We start from the raw sequence: 18088 nt of genomic DNA on the forward strand, positions 1-18088 counted from the left end.
TATTTATGGATAACTCATTTTAAAGTTAAAATCACTGTGATATTCCAAAAGTTAAAAAATTAACTTTTAAAAGTAACATATTAAAATATTAGACATAAAATGTTGACATTACGTATAACAAAACAGTACATTTCAACTATAATTACAGTAAAAATTCAAGAATTAGCATATCTCCATAAAACTTTTTTAAACTTAGATGTGAACCTTTCTACTCGTAGTATGAGTCAATAAAATCCCTGTCCTGAGGTTCTAATGGGATCTTACCATAAGCCCTATCATCATTGCCCCACATCACACTGACCGCAAGATTATTTTATGCTTGATTGGCCTTGGCTCAGGATTCCTATCATAGGAGTAACAAATGGCCTGGCCATACAGATGGAATTTTGTTTTATTATGATTTCAAAGATAAAAGGATCAATTGCTTCCCAAGCTTTCCCCTACTTGATTACCTGAACTTCCACAATTAAAAACCTACCTCATAGGTTATCATGAGAGGTTAAATGAGTTAATGTTTATAAAACACACAGAACAGTGAGTGAATGTTAACACAATTTTCATTCCTTCAACCTACAGTATGTTTTAAGAAATAAGACATAGCTATGGTTTGAATGCATATGTCCCTGCAAAATTCATATGTTGGAACTTAGACCTCCATGCAATAGTATTAATACTATTAAAATAGTATTAATAGTATTAAAATAGACCCCCTATTAAAAAATAGGAGCCTTTTGGGAAGTGATTAAATTATGAGGGCTCCTCCCTCATGAATAGGATTAATGAGCTTATAAAAGAGGCTTCAGAGAGGTGCCTGCCTTTCCATCCCTTTTCCTCTTCTGCCTTTTCTGCTATGTGAGGACACGCTCAAGAAGAGGCTATAGATAGGACAAGCCCTCACCAGGAACCGAATCAACTAGCACTGTGATCTTGGACTTCCCAGCCTCCAGAACTGTGAGAAATAAACTTCTATTGTTTATAAATTACTCAGACTAAGGGATTTTATTATAGCAGCAAGAATAGACTAAGACAGACATTAAACCATAATAGGAATTTTCACTTGAGGGATTAGTATATTTCAATCCCGTCCCTAGAGCAAGGATAAATAGGGCCAAATCGGAGAGGACAAGAAAAAATTGGATATCTTCTAAAAGGAAAAAGGATGTGAAAACAGAAAAACAACTGTGAAGGTAAAAGGCTCAGAACAAAAATGTCTATTACTAAACTACAAGATACAAATGTCCCTCCCTTTACAACTTTGCTCAGTATCAATTTGCCATCCATGCCATTAGGCAATGTGAAACTGCAGCAACACAGCCTGCTCAATTCTTCTGCAGAGCACGCAGAACCATTAACTCATTTTTGTTACTAAATTCAGAGGCTTAAAAAAAGTTAGCATATATTTGATTCAAACAATGCTTGAGTGCTAAATGTGAGTTATGTTATTTTAATTTTCTTTACATCAAAGACACCTCTTCACACACATTTAGACTTAAGGTAAAGCAAAGTTGTCACATATTAACATTAGGGTTAATATGTTTAGATAGTTAACAATATCACATATAGTGAACATAATTTCAATGCAAATTTTCTTTCTATAAAATTAAAGATAAAATTTCACACATAAAAATTGGTAGTTTTCTTAAGAAATTCAAATACTGAAAACATATAAATGTAGATTTAATTTTGAAATATGTAAAATTTGAAGCAGCAAGTGTGCATATTTATAAATTGTGCCTACATATACCATAGCAACTGAATGCAAAATGAATATTCAATTCATTTTCAGTACAAACACACAAAAGTGTTTTTTTCCCCATTCAAATGTCCTCTGTTTTTCCCCTTAAATGATCTACTACTTTGATAATTTATGAATTCAAAGTGCTGGAGTTTTACTGGCTTGCTGCTTTTCTTAATTATTGAGATAGATAAATAAATCATAATGTTCTTTAATTGGAGCTTTTTGTTTGTTTAAATATAAGCTTATCCTGACCCTGATTCTGTGATATCTAAGCATTTCTCCTTTTGTCCCTTCTTTCCTTTACTTGTTTTAAGTAATTTCTCCAAGCCTAGCTTCTGCCTCTGAAAAATGAGGCCAAACAACAGAGTTTCATGAGGATTAAATGAGATAATGTCTGCAAAGCTTCCAGTACAGTGGTTTTATTTAGTTTCAATAACTAATTTATTTTCTTCTTACTTCTTGTTTTCTTCTCAGTTCTAGAACAGTCAGAGAAATTTTAATGGATGAAAAAAATATTTGCTCCATCACACCCCTGATTCATTTCCCAGTTTGGGTACTGGTTAACAAAATATTTGATGTTAAGAGTTTTCTTCATTATAGGATATGGAGAAAACCCAAGACTTTTACCCACTTACCTAACTGCGTAATGTTCCATCTCCATGTTGCCAGGAGATAATTCATGGTTGAGCTGCTGTAAAATTTCCCTTTAGCAGCCACAGTTGCTCCAAGGTGGATGATTAAACTGAAGGGCTAGCTTTAGAACTAGAGAGAACTTGACAGCTTCACAGAATGTGTGATTTAACATAAATTCTGATGGAGGAAACAGCAAGAATGACAGGGATTTCAGCAGAATAGGCAGCAATTACTAATCTTTCTGTTAACAGAATAACTGACTGATCATTAGGCTACTGTTGCTGTTCTTGTAGTCTCAGGAGTTCATTGGACAGTGGTTAGGGATTAGGCAGCATCTTCTAATTCCATGAGAACATCCTGGCCTGAAGTTTTTAACTGATTCACAAGTGTTTGGAAATTGATAAGAAGGTTATTGATGATGGCTCAAGCTACAGTTTAGAGACTGGCTAACTTATTGAGTGGGAAACCACACATTTGAAAGTTGGTCAAGTACATGAGGTTGTGAGAGAGTTTGTAAACTAAACCGTAATTGTGGACTCTTTGTGTTCACAATAAAGTTCATTAAATCCTTTGAGGCAAAAATAAATACCTTTTGGAGGAAAATTGTCCATTACATTCCTTTAAGTCTCCCAAGTACAAATTTCACAAAGAATAAACAATATTAATTTACTGAGCTTAGTTTTCACCAAAGATAACCTCAAAGGTTCTAAGATATTTAATGATTTATGTTTAATCTAATCCTTGCATACGTTTGACATTGTCTTTTCAGAATGTTGTAAAATAGCAGAAAATGTTCCCAAGTCCAATATAACTATAATTTGGAAAACTTTCACACAAGCAAAATAATTTCAATTTTAATTTGAAAACAGTTTCCAAACATCAAGAAACTGCTGGTTATCTCGAGAGAGAGTAACTCGGGAAAGCCAGAGCTTTACTTTTTATCATTCTGTCTCTGTGAAACTTTGTTGTTGTTTTTTGTTTTTTTGCTTTCTTTGAGACAGCCTCTCATTCTGTCAACCAGATTGGAGTGCTAATGGTGACTACAGCTCACTGTGGCTTGGAACTCCAGGCTCAAGCAATCCTCCCAGTTCAGTCTTCCGAGTAATGGACTACAGGTGCTTGCCAAAGCATCCAGGTAATGTTTTTGTAGTATTTGTAGAGACAGGATCTGGCTTTGTTGTCCAGGCTGACCTCCCAGAGTGCTGGGATTACAGGTGCAAGCTTTTTAAAAAACATGTCCTAAACAGGCACTGACTGTCACACGCCTTTAATTCCAGCTACATGGGAGGCTGAGGTGGGAAGATCACTTGAGCCCAGGAGTTACAGTCCAGTCTGGGCAACAGTGAGACCCTGTCTCTAAAATACAAAATTTCAAAAAAAAAAAAAAACAAATGGCACACACCTTAATCCCAGCTACTCCCAGCAACTGAGGAGGATCCCTTGAGCCCAGGAGTTGGAGACCAACCTGGGCAACACAGTGAGACTCTATTTGAAAAAAAACTTTTATTGTTGTTGTTAAACAATAATTTCAAGACTTAATGTGAATTCCCAAAACTACGTTAAGGATATGTGACTTTCAAATACCAGTATTTCTCAAAACCATATGATATAGGCAATTAAGAAAAAGTAAATTTTACTTGATAAGTTAAAAATTTGATAGTACAATGAAATTAAAACATCATAATATGTGAAAAGGAACTATCCTGTCAATCTCTGTAAAGTTATAGCCAGTACATAATAAGAAATTAGGACAATTAATTGATAGCTCAAGCCCTCCCTTTCTTGTTTATTACCTTCTTAATAGTAAACCTAAAATTTCACAGCCCCAGTTCCAATCAGTACTGTTGAATAACTCTAGTTATCAATCAATACTTGTGATAGCAATTCAAAAATATAAATTTTTACATACATGCTTAATGTTATTGGTAGTAAAATTGACATTTTTAAGGGGCTTTCAAATTGACATTTTTAAGGGGCTTTCAAAAATCAATATATTTTGGTGAATATAAAATTTCCTTTGAAATTTTATATTTTAGAGAGAGGGTCTCACTATATTGGTAGTAAAATTAACATTTTAAAGGGGCTTTTAAAAATCAATATATTATTGGCGAATATAAAATTTCCTTTGAAATTTTATATTTTAGAGACAAGGTCTCACTATATTACCCAGACTGGACTCTAGCTCCTGGGCTCAAGTGATCCCCCCACCTCAGCCTCCCATGTAGGTGGGATTACAGGTACGTGACAGTCAGTGCCTATTCAGGAAATTTTTTTTAAAACTTTGCACCTGTAATCCCAGCACTATTGGAGGCCAGCCTGGACAACAGAACCAGACCTCCGTCTCTACAAAAACTAATAAAACGTAGGCCAAATAAGCAACTAAGAAATTATTTCCTGCATAATGGCATTCGCAGCAACCTGAATGGAATTGGAGATATTATTCTAAGTGAAGTAATTCAGGAGTGGAAAACTAAACATTTTATGTTCTCACTCATAAGTGGGAGCTAAGCTATGAGAATGCAGAGGCATAAGAGTGATACAATAGACTTGGGGGACTCGGGGAAAGGGTGGGGGGGCAAGGGATAAAAAAAAACTACACAGAGGGTACAGTGTATACTCTTCAGGTGATGGGCACACCAGAATCTCAGAAATCATGACTAAAGAACTTATTCATGTAACCAAACACCATCTGTTCCCCCAAAAACCTACTGATTTTTCTTTCTTTGAGATGGAGACTCGCTCTGTCGCCCGGGTTAGGGTGCAATGGTGCCATCTCAGCTCACTGCAATCTCTGCCTCCCGGATTCAAGAGATTCTCATGCCTCAGCCTCCCAAGTAGCTGGGATTACAGGCACCTGCCACCACGCATGGCTAATTTTTTTTTGAAACAGAGTCTCACCCTGCCCAGGCTGGAGCACATTTTTATGGTTTTAGTAGAGATGGGGTTTCACCATGTTGTCCAGGCTGGTCTCAAACTCCTGACCTTAAATGATCTGCCCGCCTCAGCCTCCCAAAGTGCTGGGATTACAGGCGTGAGCCACTGCACCTGGCCAAAATCTATCGAATTTTTTTTAAAAAAAGAAAAGAAATTATTTCCTGTAGCTTTTTCTTTGAACTTGGATGCATAATTATGGAAGTGAAGCATGCAAAGAATCACATTCATATCACAGTGTTTTGCCCTCTACCCTTCTGTCTTTTATAGTCTTGAATAGAGAACCAAGAGAAATCAAGTCAAGATTTTTAGCTTCTATTAAACCCAAATAGGTTCATTAATCTCATGTAAATTGATGGACAAGTATATGTATCTCATTATAGGTTTTTTAAATGTAATCATTATGCTTTCATGTATTAAGGTGTCACTTTAAGCATTACTTCCTCAAGTAAGTCTTGCCTGGCCACCCATTCTAAAGTAAGTCCCCTTTTATGTTTTATTTATCATAACACTGATAACTATCTGATATTTTCTTTTATTTACTTGTTTACTATCTTTCCTCTTTAAAATGTAGATTCCATAATCAGAAATCAGTAGGACCAAAAGTAGTAACAGGTTCTCAATAAATACTTATTAAATGAAGAAATAAGCTTATATTTTTTAAAAGGAATTCCTATGAACTTGAGCATATAATGGATAACTTGATAATCATGTTTAATTTATGTGTTTATGAAGCATTACTTACATTCCAATTATTTCTAGAATTATATGAACAGTCTCCAACTAGTCTCTCCTCCCTTTCTTTCAACATAACATATTCTTAAATGTGGCAAACTGCAGACATTTTGTGAGGACTTGTTTCAATAACTGAACACACATTAAACAGCTAAAATAAGTTGTCTTCAAAAGCAAATTGCAAACAGCTAAAATAAGTTGTTTTCAAAAGGAAATTACAAAGAGTGACTGTTTCCAGATGTAAACTACTCCATGAGTGACATCTGCTTATTCCTTCCCCCAGTGTCAGTGTCCATACTTGGGCTTGCTATTCTCTGCTCTCTATACTTTCCTTGGCAAACTTCACATATTTTATCATTTTAACCTAATCACAAATGTCTATTGATGCCTTCCAAATAGAATCATACTCCTATATCTGGACTTTCTGATTAACTGGATGATACTGCAAACTCCCCACTTCTGAAAGGAGTTGATTGTTTTTCCTTCCACCCTCCTTCTTCTAGCCACCAAAGCCACTATGGTACTAAGACAAAACGTTAGGTCAAAAAATCTACATGTTGTTCTTTTTAAAATGTCTCTATCACATGTCTTCTCTTCTTTGTTCCCAACTTCAGGTTTCATCACCTTCTCAGATTATTTCAACAGTCTCCAACTATTTCCCTAATTCCCTACTAGGCCCATTGTGGCTCACCTGAATACTGATTACGGTGAAACTTCTTTAAATGCTACTTACCTCATTTTGTTTATGTGGTCATATTTTGTATCATAACACCTTTAAGATTCACTACAAACACCCTAGTCCAACCCACAATCATCTTTTAACAATTACCTCTGCTACATAACTACTTTTCCCTCAACCACACTTTTCTTACTCTACATCAGGGGTGTCCAATCTTTTGGCTTCCCTGGACCACATTGGAAGAATAATCGTCTCGGGCCACACATAAAATACACTAAGACTAATGATAGCTGATCAGCTTTTAAAAAAATCACCAAAAGAATCTCATGTGTTGGGTTGCATTCAAAGCCATCCTGGGCCACATGCAGCCCATGGGCCATGGGTTGGACAAGCTTGCTCTTCATACTTCAGACAGAATGATCTGTTTAAAGTGTAAATAAATCCAAACATGCCACTCCCTTGTTTATAATCATTCAGTGGCTTTCCACCACACTTAGGTCAAAGATCAAAACCCCACAAAGTCTGTCTCCCTCTCTAACCTCATCTTAGTCCATCCTACCTGATTTCCATATATTTCTGTACTCTAATCACACTGAGCTTAAAGTTCCTCAAAATGAAAGCCTTCTTCCTACCTGGGGGCCTTGACATGTGTTGTCTCCTTATCTATAAAGGTCTGCCTGACCCCTTCCCTTTGCTCAGTCATCTACTCCTCCTCTAGTTAACCCTGTCAAACGTTACATCTTAAGGGAAAATTTCCTAACTCCAGTCCTTGTCTCAGACTAGTTACATATTCTCATAATTTTATGTACTTCTTCATTACAAAATGTATCATTCCATAACTAATTAGTTAATTGTGTAATTGTGTAATTGCTGTTTAAAGTCTAGCTTCCCGACTAGAATATTTCATGAGATAGGGCATGAATTGGATTTGGTTTACCACTGTTCTCCCATGCTTGGTGCAGCACTTTGCACACAGTAGCTGTTCAATAAATATTTGTTGAATATATCAAAGAAGAAATCTGAAGTAACTATCTGTAATTTCTATCATCAAGTCTCCCTGCTGGCCAAGTTTCAAGAATATAAATAATCTGGCCTTATTCCATCTATCCACAAATATAATCATCACTACTGAATATAAAACTCTACTGTCTTCTCATTCTCAAAAACGTGCTGTGCTCCTTCATGCATTCAGGTCATCAGTGATCATTTTGTTTTTCTAACCAATAATGCTGTTTCTTCTAACTATCTTAATTCTACAAGTCTTTCAAAGCCCCGACTCAAAAATGCAAATATTACTTTCTCCAAATAATCCTTCATTTGTCATTCATACTAATTTGTCTTTACTGTGGATTTCTATTAATATACTCATTAATAGGTATCCCACAATTTGTTAGTCACTTGAACCTGATCTTAGGTTTCTTAGAGTGAGCTTTTTTTGTTGTTGTTGTTTGTTTGTTTGTTTGAGACAGGGTCTCACTCTGTCACCCAGGCTGGAGTGCAGTGGTGCGATCTCAGCTCACTGCAACCTCCGCCTTCCAGGTTCAGGCGATTCTTCTGCCTCAGCCTCCCGAGTAGCTGGGACAACAGGCGCCTGCCACCATGCCCTGCTAATTTTTATATTTTTAGTAGAGATGGGATTTCACCATGTTGGCCAGGCTGGTCTCGAACTCCTGGGCTCAACTGAACCGCCCGCCTCAGCCTCCCAAACTGCTGGGATTACAGGCGTGAGCTGCCGCGCCGGGTGTGAGCATCGTTTCTTATACTTTTTCTAAGTCCTCTTCCAAGGCTTTCTATCTCTCAAGCCTACACCCTCAAACATGTAAATAGCCCCTAGCACAGTATATTAGTAGAAGGTAATCAATAAAAATTTGCTGGTTAGTAGGTTTAATATTGGTTCAGAAATTTGTAATTGATTTCCTCATATTTATCTTTACCTTTAATGTAGTAAAAAGCGGTATGGCCACTTGTACATTAGAGGTTTCTTTTGTAATTAAAAGACAAAAGCCTAAAAGTGACCCAGATATTTAGTCTGAATTTTCTGCTTTATTTTATAATAAAGTCTGTTGACAATAGCAGTGTGGATCCAAATTTTACGAGAGTCCAGGGTCAGTTACAATGTTCATGACAGGTGACTTGCCAAGCCCATTATATCTCCCAGGGTATCATTTAGTACCTTTTTGCATCAAAAGAGAATTCACTGTAGCTTCAAAAAATGCATTCATAGACTAAAATAGTACCTTAATAATCTTGAAAGAGTTAATGAGGTCAATCAAATGCTTAGCCCAACTTTCAACTTCCAAATCAAGAACATTCCCTCTCAATGGTACAGAAATAGAAAAGGTCTGCACGTTTTGATGACTCACTTTTCTACCACCTGGTCTTATGAATATATTTGTTTGTTGTTTATTAACTCAACACTTCACTGTTTCGTTATTTTTAAGGACCTTAGGATCTCATTGGTGGGAACATAATAAAATAACCCCAAAAAAATTTCACTGGTTTGAGTTGCCCTTCTTACATTTGTTATTTTGAACTCATGTTGTGTGAAAAGGAGAAAAAGACAAATTTTCACTGTTTATACCATATTTCTAATTTCTGCTCCAAAATGTAACAAATGATATAAATTCTCCATGTAACTCTTAGATTTCAGGTTAGATATTTAGAGAGATTAACTTTTAAGTCACAGGAGTACCCTTTAGTAACATGAGCCATATCTTTATTCATAATTCCCAAGGGATTTATGAACTAAGGAGCTTTAAAAATTGGAACTAATAGAGCTTTCAGAAATGGTCCTAACTTCAAGGAGAAGGTTAAGCCAGGAAGACTCTTATTTCTTGTATCATTAGTTAAAATTATAAGTATTTTAGGCCATTTATAAGCAGCATGCTTCTATGAGTTAGATATTTTAATCAAGGTGAAATAAAAATATTAAAATTACTTACAAAATATTTTTGTTTGGAATACATTAATAATTCTGTGGTCTAGCACTTAGTTCCCATGTGTCCAGTTAACTTGGCCCTATTTCATAACTATTGACTATTCCCCACATCCAGAATAGGATCTCAAATAAATATCCTACAAATGGCCTTGAAAGCTAGCTTAGAGGTTGCTTGCAGTTACATACTTACTCGCAAATAAATCAATGATCTTAGTCTACCTGGGAAGGGTAATCTCTTCAACAAAGCAGGGCAGCATCAACAGGACTCCCATATTGAGAGAATCAGTCTATCTATCAAAATCAAGCCCTTAGATCCAGAGGGCAACGGCTGTCTCAGAAAGATAAATCTCTTATTTAAATGTATTCATTCTTTCATCCACAAAAACTTATTGAGCATCTACTATGTGTCTGACACTGTTCTAAGTATAGGATATTCAGCAGTGAACAAGACAGGTAAGTCCCCTACTCTACAAACCTTATGAGTGCCTAAGAATCAGGAAGGGGCGCCGGGGAAAATGATAAGCAAATGAAGAATCATACTCGTTGCAAGGTGGATAGAATAAGAAATTGATGTCAAAATAATTTCAAATTAAAGAACATGCTATACAAAAAGCCCACCAGGTGCACACTTTTCCTAGACAGTGAACTATATACATATAATACATTATTTAGCTAGCTAACTGGATAAACTAGATAGATATAGATTTGTATCCAAATATTTAATCCAAGAAATCTTTCCAAGATCACACATCCCATGGCATTCCCTGTCCCACAGTGAACAAAGGAATTAGTGTCACATTTTCAAAATGACAGATTACTCACCAAGATAAAATTGTATATGCTTAATAAGTAGGTAGCTTTTTTATTATAGATGTGTACATAAGCCAATTAATAAAGATAATTAAGAAACAGAATTAGTAATATGTTCTAAATGAATGTTTAAAGTATTTGTTCATTAATTTCACTTGAGAATGTATCTATACACCAATCATTCACCTGCCCTGAATTTTAACTATGGAAATTCCAACCAAATTCCTTGTATAAATAAATGTAGATAAAGCAAAATAGTCCAATAAATACTTATAACAGAAGAGCAAATTTTACATAAATACTCTGTTCCTATTTTATAGATGGTTTATACACCTTCCAAAATTTATTTAGAATCACCTGGGGCTTTTGGCCAATTGTCTACTCACACAAATGTGCTAAATAATAGAAACTTCTAAAAAAATTATTACTGTTATATTACATATCAATTCACATTCCAAAAAATGTTATATTTCAAAATGCACAAGTAAACCCCCATTTTATTGTTAATGCATCCATATACATTGTATACATGCCTTCATAAGCATTCCACTGTATTAGAAAAATATACCCTCCTAAAGGTATTTAAATAGGCAGAAACACTTTTTACAAAGCAAACAATTAATTTATGATCATGAAAGGTGTGTGTAGACTAGAGAATTAATGAAAAGCAAAACATCTTAAACAGTCTTTTAATGTTATGAATTTGATTTTTCAAGAAATACATGTCATTTATTTTCAAAACGAAATGATAGCTATACTTTCTAGAGTCTATCAATAGTATTTAAAATAAGATACTCATAACTTTCAAATACTGCTTTTACTAGTCATCACTCGTCATTAAATGTAACTGTATATTCAAGAGCTTTCTAATAATAGCCTTTAATTAAACGAAGGACTGTTAGAGGGTTTCTGTTGCCCTTTGAAGTTCTTAATTATTACTTGTATCCAGCATTTTATGGTACACTTAAGGTTAAATTAAATCATTTAAATATACCTTGAAGAGAAATATGAAGACTTTTGCCCATTTTAATTAAATCTCTGAATTTCAGTATTTGAAAATAATAACATATGTTTTGATTTTTTTTTCATGGCCGAATGGCAAAATGCTCACTATATTAAACAACAAAAAAAGAAATGGTAGCTTTTTATGGGACTAATCGCTAAGCAGATGCATGTAAATGAGCTATTTTCTATGCATGGCTTCCAAAAGTGCTAATTAAATAGTTGGTATTCAAGGCTATGCTCGCTCATTGTTTAGTGACACACAAATCCAGCGATGTGTGCCAGCAGACATTTTAAGTTGAATGTTTTCTCCTCTACGGTCTTTGTCATGAAATGGTGGCACCATGATGAGAACACTAGTGTAAGCAAAACATTGAAATATGCTTTAATAATGTTTTAACCATGTAGTGACACTAGCCTAGTTTTCTAATGAATTTTTAATTTCTGTTTTCTTATAAGGGTGATATGAGTTATCGCTGATGCATATTAAATCATATACATGAGTCATTTTCTCTAAATTTGCATAAAATGGCTAAATGCTAATGCACCAAATGGAGCTTACTATATGTGGTACAGCAAATATTCCCTTGAAGATTTTCTGCAATCAATCTCCTGTATTTCATTAGCAACCAGATAAGGTGTGGTCTGCAGAATAAAAAAAGAAAAGTGTGTAGCTCATGAACTTATGAGGCTTCAGATGATTTCTACGTGGTGATTAGAGTGGATTCTGCAATTAGAATTTATGTAGGTAAAACACACATGTGCTTCCTTTAAAGGCACAGTGCAACAAAAGTTCTGAATACAGCCTTGCAATTGTTAAACAATGAAAAGGCACCATTCAATTATTGTGATTTTTTTACATCTATAATTAAATGAAGGAAAGCCATACTTTAAATTTAGTATCATTTGATTGGCATAACCCTTACTGAAATTTTACAATTTCCCTACTATGTTTATAAAAGAACTTTTAAAAATAACCATGTGTGAAATATTTTGTTTGCTAACTGTTCCCATTTTCCTTGTCAAATAATGGTGAAGAATTTTCTGGACTAATGTTTAACATTTAAAAATGTTTTTTCTATCATCAAATACTCTTACTGAACTGACATTAGGATCATATGCTTTATAAAAAATTGCATTAGGGTAACAGTATTATTGGGCAAACCAGAGATGTTTACTTGAAGGATAAACTTGCTGCTTACTCACTCCACTCATCAACCCTTTTCTCGTCTCCTACAGTTCCACCATCTGGAATATTTTTTAACCCAGTAAAGAAAAAATTGGGGAAGGGGATGGCTATTTAAAAATAAATGCTTTGCCCTACAGTTATTTTGAATTAGTCTTGATAAATAATTAAGGAATCCATAATACATTATTTAGATGCCATGGTCTTAAGAATTTGAGTGGTATTTCAAGTACAATTATAGTCATTTATTTATCAGTAGAAAATTTACATAATCACACTTCAAAATCCAGTGGACTGGAGAGATATCAGAAAGACACCCATGAATGTGGTAATGACTCCGAGTATTAGATTAAGTTAATAATGTAGTGATGCACATGATATTCTAATATCTAGCACTACAGTATTTGATCACTTAAAATGATAAAGGCATAAATATTTTTCTCTTTTCAAACTGTATTTTATGCAGAAGGGCTCTTTATAGTATAAAATGCAATTTGAAAAATCAAAATTGAATTAGACAATCTCTAATGAAATAAAGCTAGTTAACTTTTAATAAATAAAGCCAAAAAATTTTCAATGACCATGAAAATAATTTTATTATAACAATAACTATTGGCTAACAAGAAATAGTGTTCACTTCATATATTTTTGAACTGACAATATAGACCTTTAAGCTGAAGTCCAGAAAAATGACAGAAATTCAACTCCTCTTTCCTATCATTGAACACGGCATGCAAATGGAGGGATTACCTATTGGAAAGGTAACACACTCTCTGTTAGCTCAGTCATGCTATAGATTCTTCCTTAGCAGCTAGTCCATCTGAGACAAATTTGGCAGAAGTATATGCAGTATTTGTACTGTGCTGTTTGAATCACTGGAATCCCATGTCATACCTGCAAACTGAGATTTTAGACTATAATTGAGCACGAGTCTTCAGTGTGGAAATCTAAGCTACTCAGCAATTTTTAACTTTATTTGGGGAGAGCTAAACTTTTTATTTTTATATTAATCTACGTACCTAGAAATTGTCATAAGAGTTACTTTATAAAACAATGCAAATGCAAATTTGTCAATTAATTCCTATATCCTTGCTGTCTAGGTATTTTCGCTACTGGAACCACTCAAGAGGTATATATTACAAACCCCAAAGATGAATTCCTATCAGATTATTTTTCTTCCATCCATTTCAAACTCCACTTGCCATGAATTTGTCATACATTCATTGCCATGAATTTGTCTAAACAGTTTTCAAGCTATACCACAAACCACTCAATACCCTCAACTTCATCTTCCCAATATCAGTCAATGCTAATTTAACTTTGTATGTACATCATATATTTCAAGGGTAACTCAATCCATTAAAGTAATATATATTGGGTAGTGACTGTGTACAAACTATGTACTTTCTAATAATAAGGCCTAAAATCTATTATTTGAGCTCCTCGCAAAGACTATTATATTTATGCAAGTTTCAAGAACTTATAATGCTCATTGAATTAAAAATAAGGACTAAGTACACTTTTATTATTACTATACAAGAGATTTAACCCTGACAGGAAGTAAGTCCATAGATTCTGAATTTCAATGATATTACATCTATTATTGTCTTCATGAAGGTATTATGTCCAAATATATTATATGAAGTATTTTTAATTAGGCCAGTGTTGATAAATACGTAATTATATTTGAGATACTTATTCGGTGAAAATATTTCTAAATCATACTTGTTAGAAATTTTTCCATCCCAGTAAATTTCATTCATATGTATACATTTGTGTGTGTAGGAAGACATTTTTCCCTAAAAGACAAAGATTTAAGAGACATTCTGGGTAATATTCTGTAGATCATTTTTTGTGGCCTGATTCAGAGAAAGTATTTATTGTCTATCTTTTTTTTTTCTTTACGCACATCTCTTTTCTCAAGTGGTTCCTTTCACAGGTTTTCACCAACTATTAAAGTGATTAGCGTCTGTAGTTTTTTCCAATCTCCCACTAGCTATTAATGATATAATAAAAAAAATCTTAACCTTGTCAAGTTTGAATTTAAAACTTAAAAAAGCCAAGAGCCAGGTTGCAGTTAAAATTCTCCTGATAACTTGTTTTCCGAGGGCCAGTGACTATTAAAAGAAACTCAGAGAAAACACGAAATCTGTCAGACAGCTACTTAGTGACAGAATTAAATGAATATTGTTAGGTAAGTGTTTTAATAACGCAGCATTTTCGAAGCATTTTCTGAAGATTATTTCTCATTGGCCCTGTCATAAAGTGGTAGCAAACTGCTTTAAAACAGTAATCAGACCGAAAGTAGTTGAGGAAGCCTATGACAGGAAGTTGTTAATAATATCCTTCGAAATTTACCTGTGAAATACAGAGCTTGACTACTTTTGTAAAAGTGGAATTGAAAGTAAACGGCCTCTGTAATGCAAATCGACCAGCAGCAAGAAAGCCACTACCTTTGGAGTCCCACGACTTCACCTGAGCTTGCAATAGACCTTGTGCGCCCTTTGGTTCATGGAATCAAAACTGTTTTGACATGTTGGCCAGTGCCCTTCGGTGTCACTGAAGCTCAGCCCGCGGACGGCGGTGTGTCAGTGTGCACCGGGAGGCCTGGGCCTCAGTCCCTGGGCTCGTGCCTACGCAACAGCAGGACCGCCCGCGGCCTCCCAGGACCAGTGACCGTCACCCGCAGTAAGGATCGGGGCGGCTCCGCCAGTTTCGGCCCTCTTTCCAAGACCTCTTTCCAAGGCGCTCTTTCCTAGCCTCACCCGAGGGCCGCAGAGCCGGACCTGTGCCGGGCGAGTTGGATTTAGCCCAGTTAGAGTTAAGATGGTATCATTAGCTGCGCACAGCGTGACTTCCCGCTAATCCTCTCTGCAACTTACAACAAGTTTAAATGTCCATGCATGATGTTATTAACTGGCTTTAGTAAGTGCTTAAGACCCAGATCTCTTTTTAAAGTAATCTCTGAACAAGTTCTACTGTATCCACCCAACAAGGAGATTAATATTTCCAGCAAATCTGATGATGGGGTAAGATGTGCCCTGAGCTCCTATGGGCAATGGGGGTAGAAGTGGGAGTTGCCCCAGGGAAGGGCCCAGAGTGGCAAGCGCTCACCAACGCCGGCCACCGAGCAAAACTTCCCCGCCCCCGCCCCCCACCCAGCTTCCCCGCAGGGAGACCCTTTCCGTTAGCAGCTTTTCACTAAGTTAATAACGGTGTGTGTGTGGTGGTGGCGGGGAGGGGGGATTTGGGGGTTACACAATATCTATATCAATGATATTGATCACGTCCAGGGAAGAAGCCTGGGCAAAACTAGAGACACCGAGTGTCAGCAAAAGAAAGCTTCTTAACCACAAGTTGCGTGCCGCCTGAGGAAGGTGCCCTGTGGCAGGGGGTGGCCGCTGGGAGATGCCTGCCTCTAACCGACGTCCAGGCGTGACTAAACCTCGACGCCACCCCCATTCACAAGCTCAACTCAGGGATTCCCAAGCAACCGCAGACCGGAGGTGGCGCAGAGGCAGTGACCGAGGTCGCTGATTAGGGGCCGAGAGGCTGGCAAATAATAATTTTAAAAAAAAAAAAAACCGGAATAGCCTTCGCGGACGCAGCTCAGCGTGCCAGGCAAAGGACAGTCTGACGACCCGCCCCTGCCGAGCCCCGCAGCGCGGCGCCGGTGTCCAGCAGCCTCCAAGGCGCCGAGCGCGGGCACGGGAACTTGAGCTAGCGCAAACTTGGGCGGCCTCCCAGCCTGCTACCCGGGCCGCAGCGCGCCCCCGGCCTCCCAGTCGCGCGCCAACCCGGGAGCGCGCGCGCCGGCGCACCAGCTCCATCAGCTAGAGGAGCCCGTCTCCCGGGAAACACCAATCAGACGCCCGCTTTCAGGCGAGGGCCGCGAGCCGCAGCAGCTGCAGGAGGACTCGGGCAGTTGGCGGTCACCGGGAGGCGTCGTCCTGCCCCGCGGCGGGCCAGCCGCCTTCGCTGCTGCCACTGCCTAGCCTAACCGCATCTGCAGCCAGTCACAGAGTCGGCTGTCTCCTCTTTGCACCGCCCACGCCAAGTACCTTGCAAGGCGGCTGCTAAGCCTGGCTAATTTTAGATCTCCAGAATGCGCTATGCCCGCGCTCAACTAAAACCAAGTCAAACCATCAAGCACAGTGATGTGCTGCTTTTTGAACAAATATGGCTCAAAACTCCGTATTTCCCTGAATAAAGTCGATTATCTGCACTTTTTAAAAGCCCTACCCCCTGTGGTCTGGCAGTTGGCTGAAAAGCGGAAAGCCACACGCTCCCACCTCAAACATGGTCATCACCTTTCTAAGGAAGTGCACTAACTCTCGCAGCCCTGATTGAGGGCAGATAAATATTCCTTAATATCAATCACAACTATATACTTTCCATTTCCATTCACCATCTTAGAATTAATTCCACAAATAAGTCGAACAGTTCCCAGAAGGGGTGAAATGGGTTCTCTGAGCAAACAGGAATAGAGGGTTCTGCTGATTTCTGTACTAGGTTGTTTAAGTTGTGTTAAGAACCGATGAGCAAAGAAACAGGGTTAACAAAGCCATCCATTAAAATCCAGAGACACTGAAGAACTGCCTTACATGTCCCAATTGCTGTAGGACCTGTTTAACTATCTCGAAGTAGTCATGTTAAAACAATCGACCCAGCATTATAGATATCTTTTTTACTCAATAACTGATTCTAATTAGTTCTTAGTCTTAAAGAACACCTTGTCCTGTGTTGCCCATCTCACCACTGCCACCCCCAGTTCCCACTAAATGCAACATATTATGGTGTGTTTTACTTAACTGTAGCACATTAGGGAGGAAAGGGTATCAATTTTCTGAAACCACAGTGACATTTCCAGATGTATAGATTCATAGGAAAAAAATAGATACATAGACAGTTACATACTGTCATTCATTTTCTAGCCACATTGGAAAATAAAGCCTTTGGTTTCATCTCTCCATTTTTGAAAAGTCAAAATTCCTAAAATGCTAAAATATCTTAAAATATTTATATGTATCCATCTATATGGCTTCCTTATAATTTAAATGGTTTCTTAATTTTCATCAGGCTACACAAAAATCAAATTAGAATTTTATATTTTTCCAAATAAGAAAATTATTTTAATTTTAAAAATAAACACAAAGAACTCTTGTGGTGGAAAATTTACTGTTCAAGGTGACCTAAAGAACAGTCACTTTGGAAAATATTCCATTTTGAATGTAAATAATGCATGTCTCATTATTATGCATAATAGCAACTTCATTAAGGGATTGATACTAGTGAAAATACCCATTCACATTCAGCAAGGACACTGAAGAAGTCTTCCTGAATCTTTTTTTTAACCTTTATCCAATTTTCATTTTTGTTGTTGTTTTGTATTTTTTGTATGACTATGTTTATCCTATATCCTTTATTATTTGATTA

At 36.7% G+C, this 18088-nt stretch overlaps 1 long non-coding RNA gene across 5 annotated transcripts in view, besides 6 other annotated features; it reads right to left on the reverse strand.

The window, feature by feature from the left end:
- Window positions 1-18088, reverse strand: part of MIR9-2HG (MIR9-2 host gene) — a 152776-nt gene that overhangs the window by 106331 nt on the left and 28357 nt on the right. The window lies entirely within an intron of this gene.
- Window positions 14779-15292: an enhancer, noted in NCBI's record as "H3K4me1 hESC enhancer chr5:87955193-87955706 (GRCh37/hg19 assembly coordinates)". NCBI's record gives its function as "activates a minimal SCP1, AML or CMV promoter by ChIP-STARR-seq in naive H9 embryonic stem cells {active_cell/tissue: H9 hESC(naive)}" and the evidence as "EXISTENCE:reporter gene assay evidence [ECO:0000049][PMID:30033119]".
- Window positions 15293-15804: an enhancer, noted in NCBI's record as "H3K4me1 hESC enhancer chr5:87955707-87956218 (GRCh37/hg19 assembly coordinates)". NCBI's record gives its function as "activates a minimal SCP1, AML or CMV promoter by ChIP-STARR-seq in naive H9 embryonic stem cells {active_cell/tissue: H9 hESC(naive)}" and the evidence as "EXISTENCE:reporter gene assay evidence [ECO:0000049][PMID:30033119]".
- Window positions 16346-16535: a silencer, noted in NCBI's record as "silent region_16162". NCBI's record gives its function as "represses an Ori minimal core promoter by ATAC-STARR-seq in GM12878 lymphoblastoid cells {active_cell/tissue: GM12878}" and the evidence as "EXISTENCE:reporter gene assay evidence [ECO:0000049][PMID:35858748]".
- Window positions 16346-17226: a biological region, named in NCBI's record as "NANOG hESC enhancer GRCh37_chr5:87956815-87957640".
- Window positions 16401-17226: an enhancer, noted in NCBI's record as "NANOG hESC enhancer chr5:87956815-87957640 (GRCh37/hg19 assembly coordinates)". NCBI's record gives its function as "activates a minimal SCP1, AML or CMV promoter by ChIP-STARR-seq in naive and primed H9 embryonic stem cells {active_cell/tissue: H9 hESC(naive and primed)}" and the evidence as "EXISTENCE:reporter gene assay evidence [ECO:0000049][PMID:30033119]".
- Window positions 16856-16935: a silencer, noted in NCBI's record as "silent region_16163". NCBI's record gives its function as "represses an Ori minimal core promoter by ATAC-STARR-seq in GM12878 lymphoblastoid cells {active_cell/tissue: GM12878}" and the evidence as "EXISTENCE:reporter gene assay evidence [ECO:0000049][PMID:35858748]".

The sequence above is a fragment of the Homo sapiens genome, chromosome 5, assembly GCF_000001405.40.
Source record: "Homo sapiens chromosome 5, GRCh38.p14 Primary Assembly".
Lineage (NCBI taxonomy): Eukaryota > Metazoa > Chordata > Mammalia > Primates > Hominidae > Homo > Homo sapiens.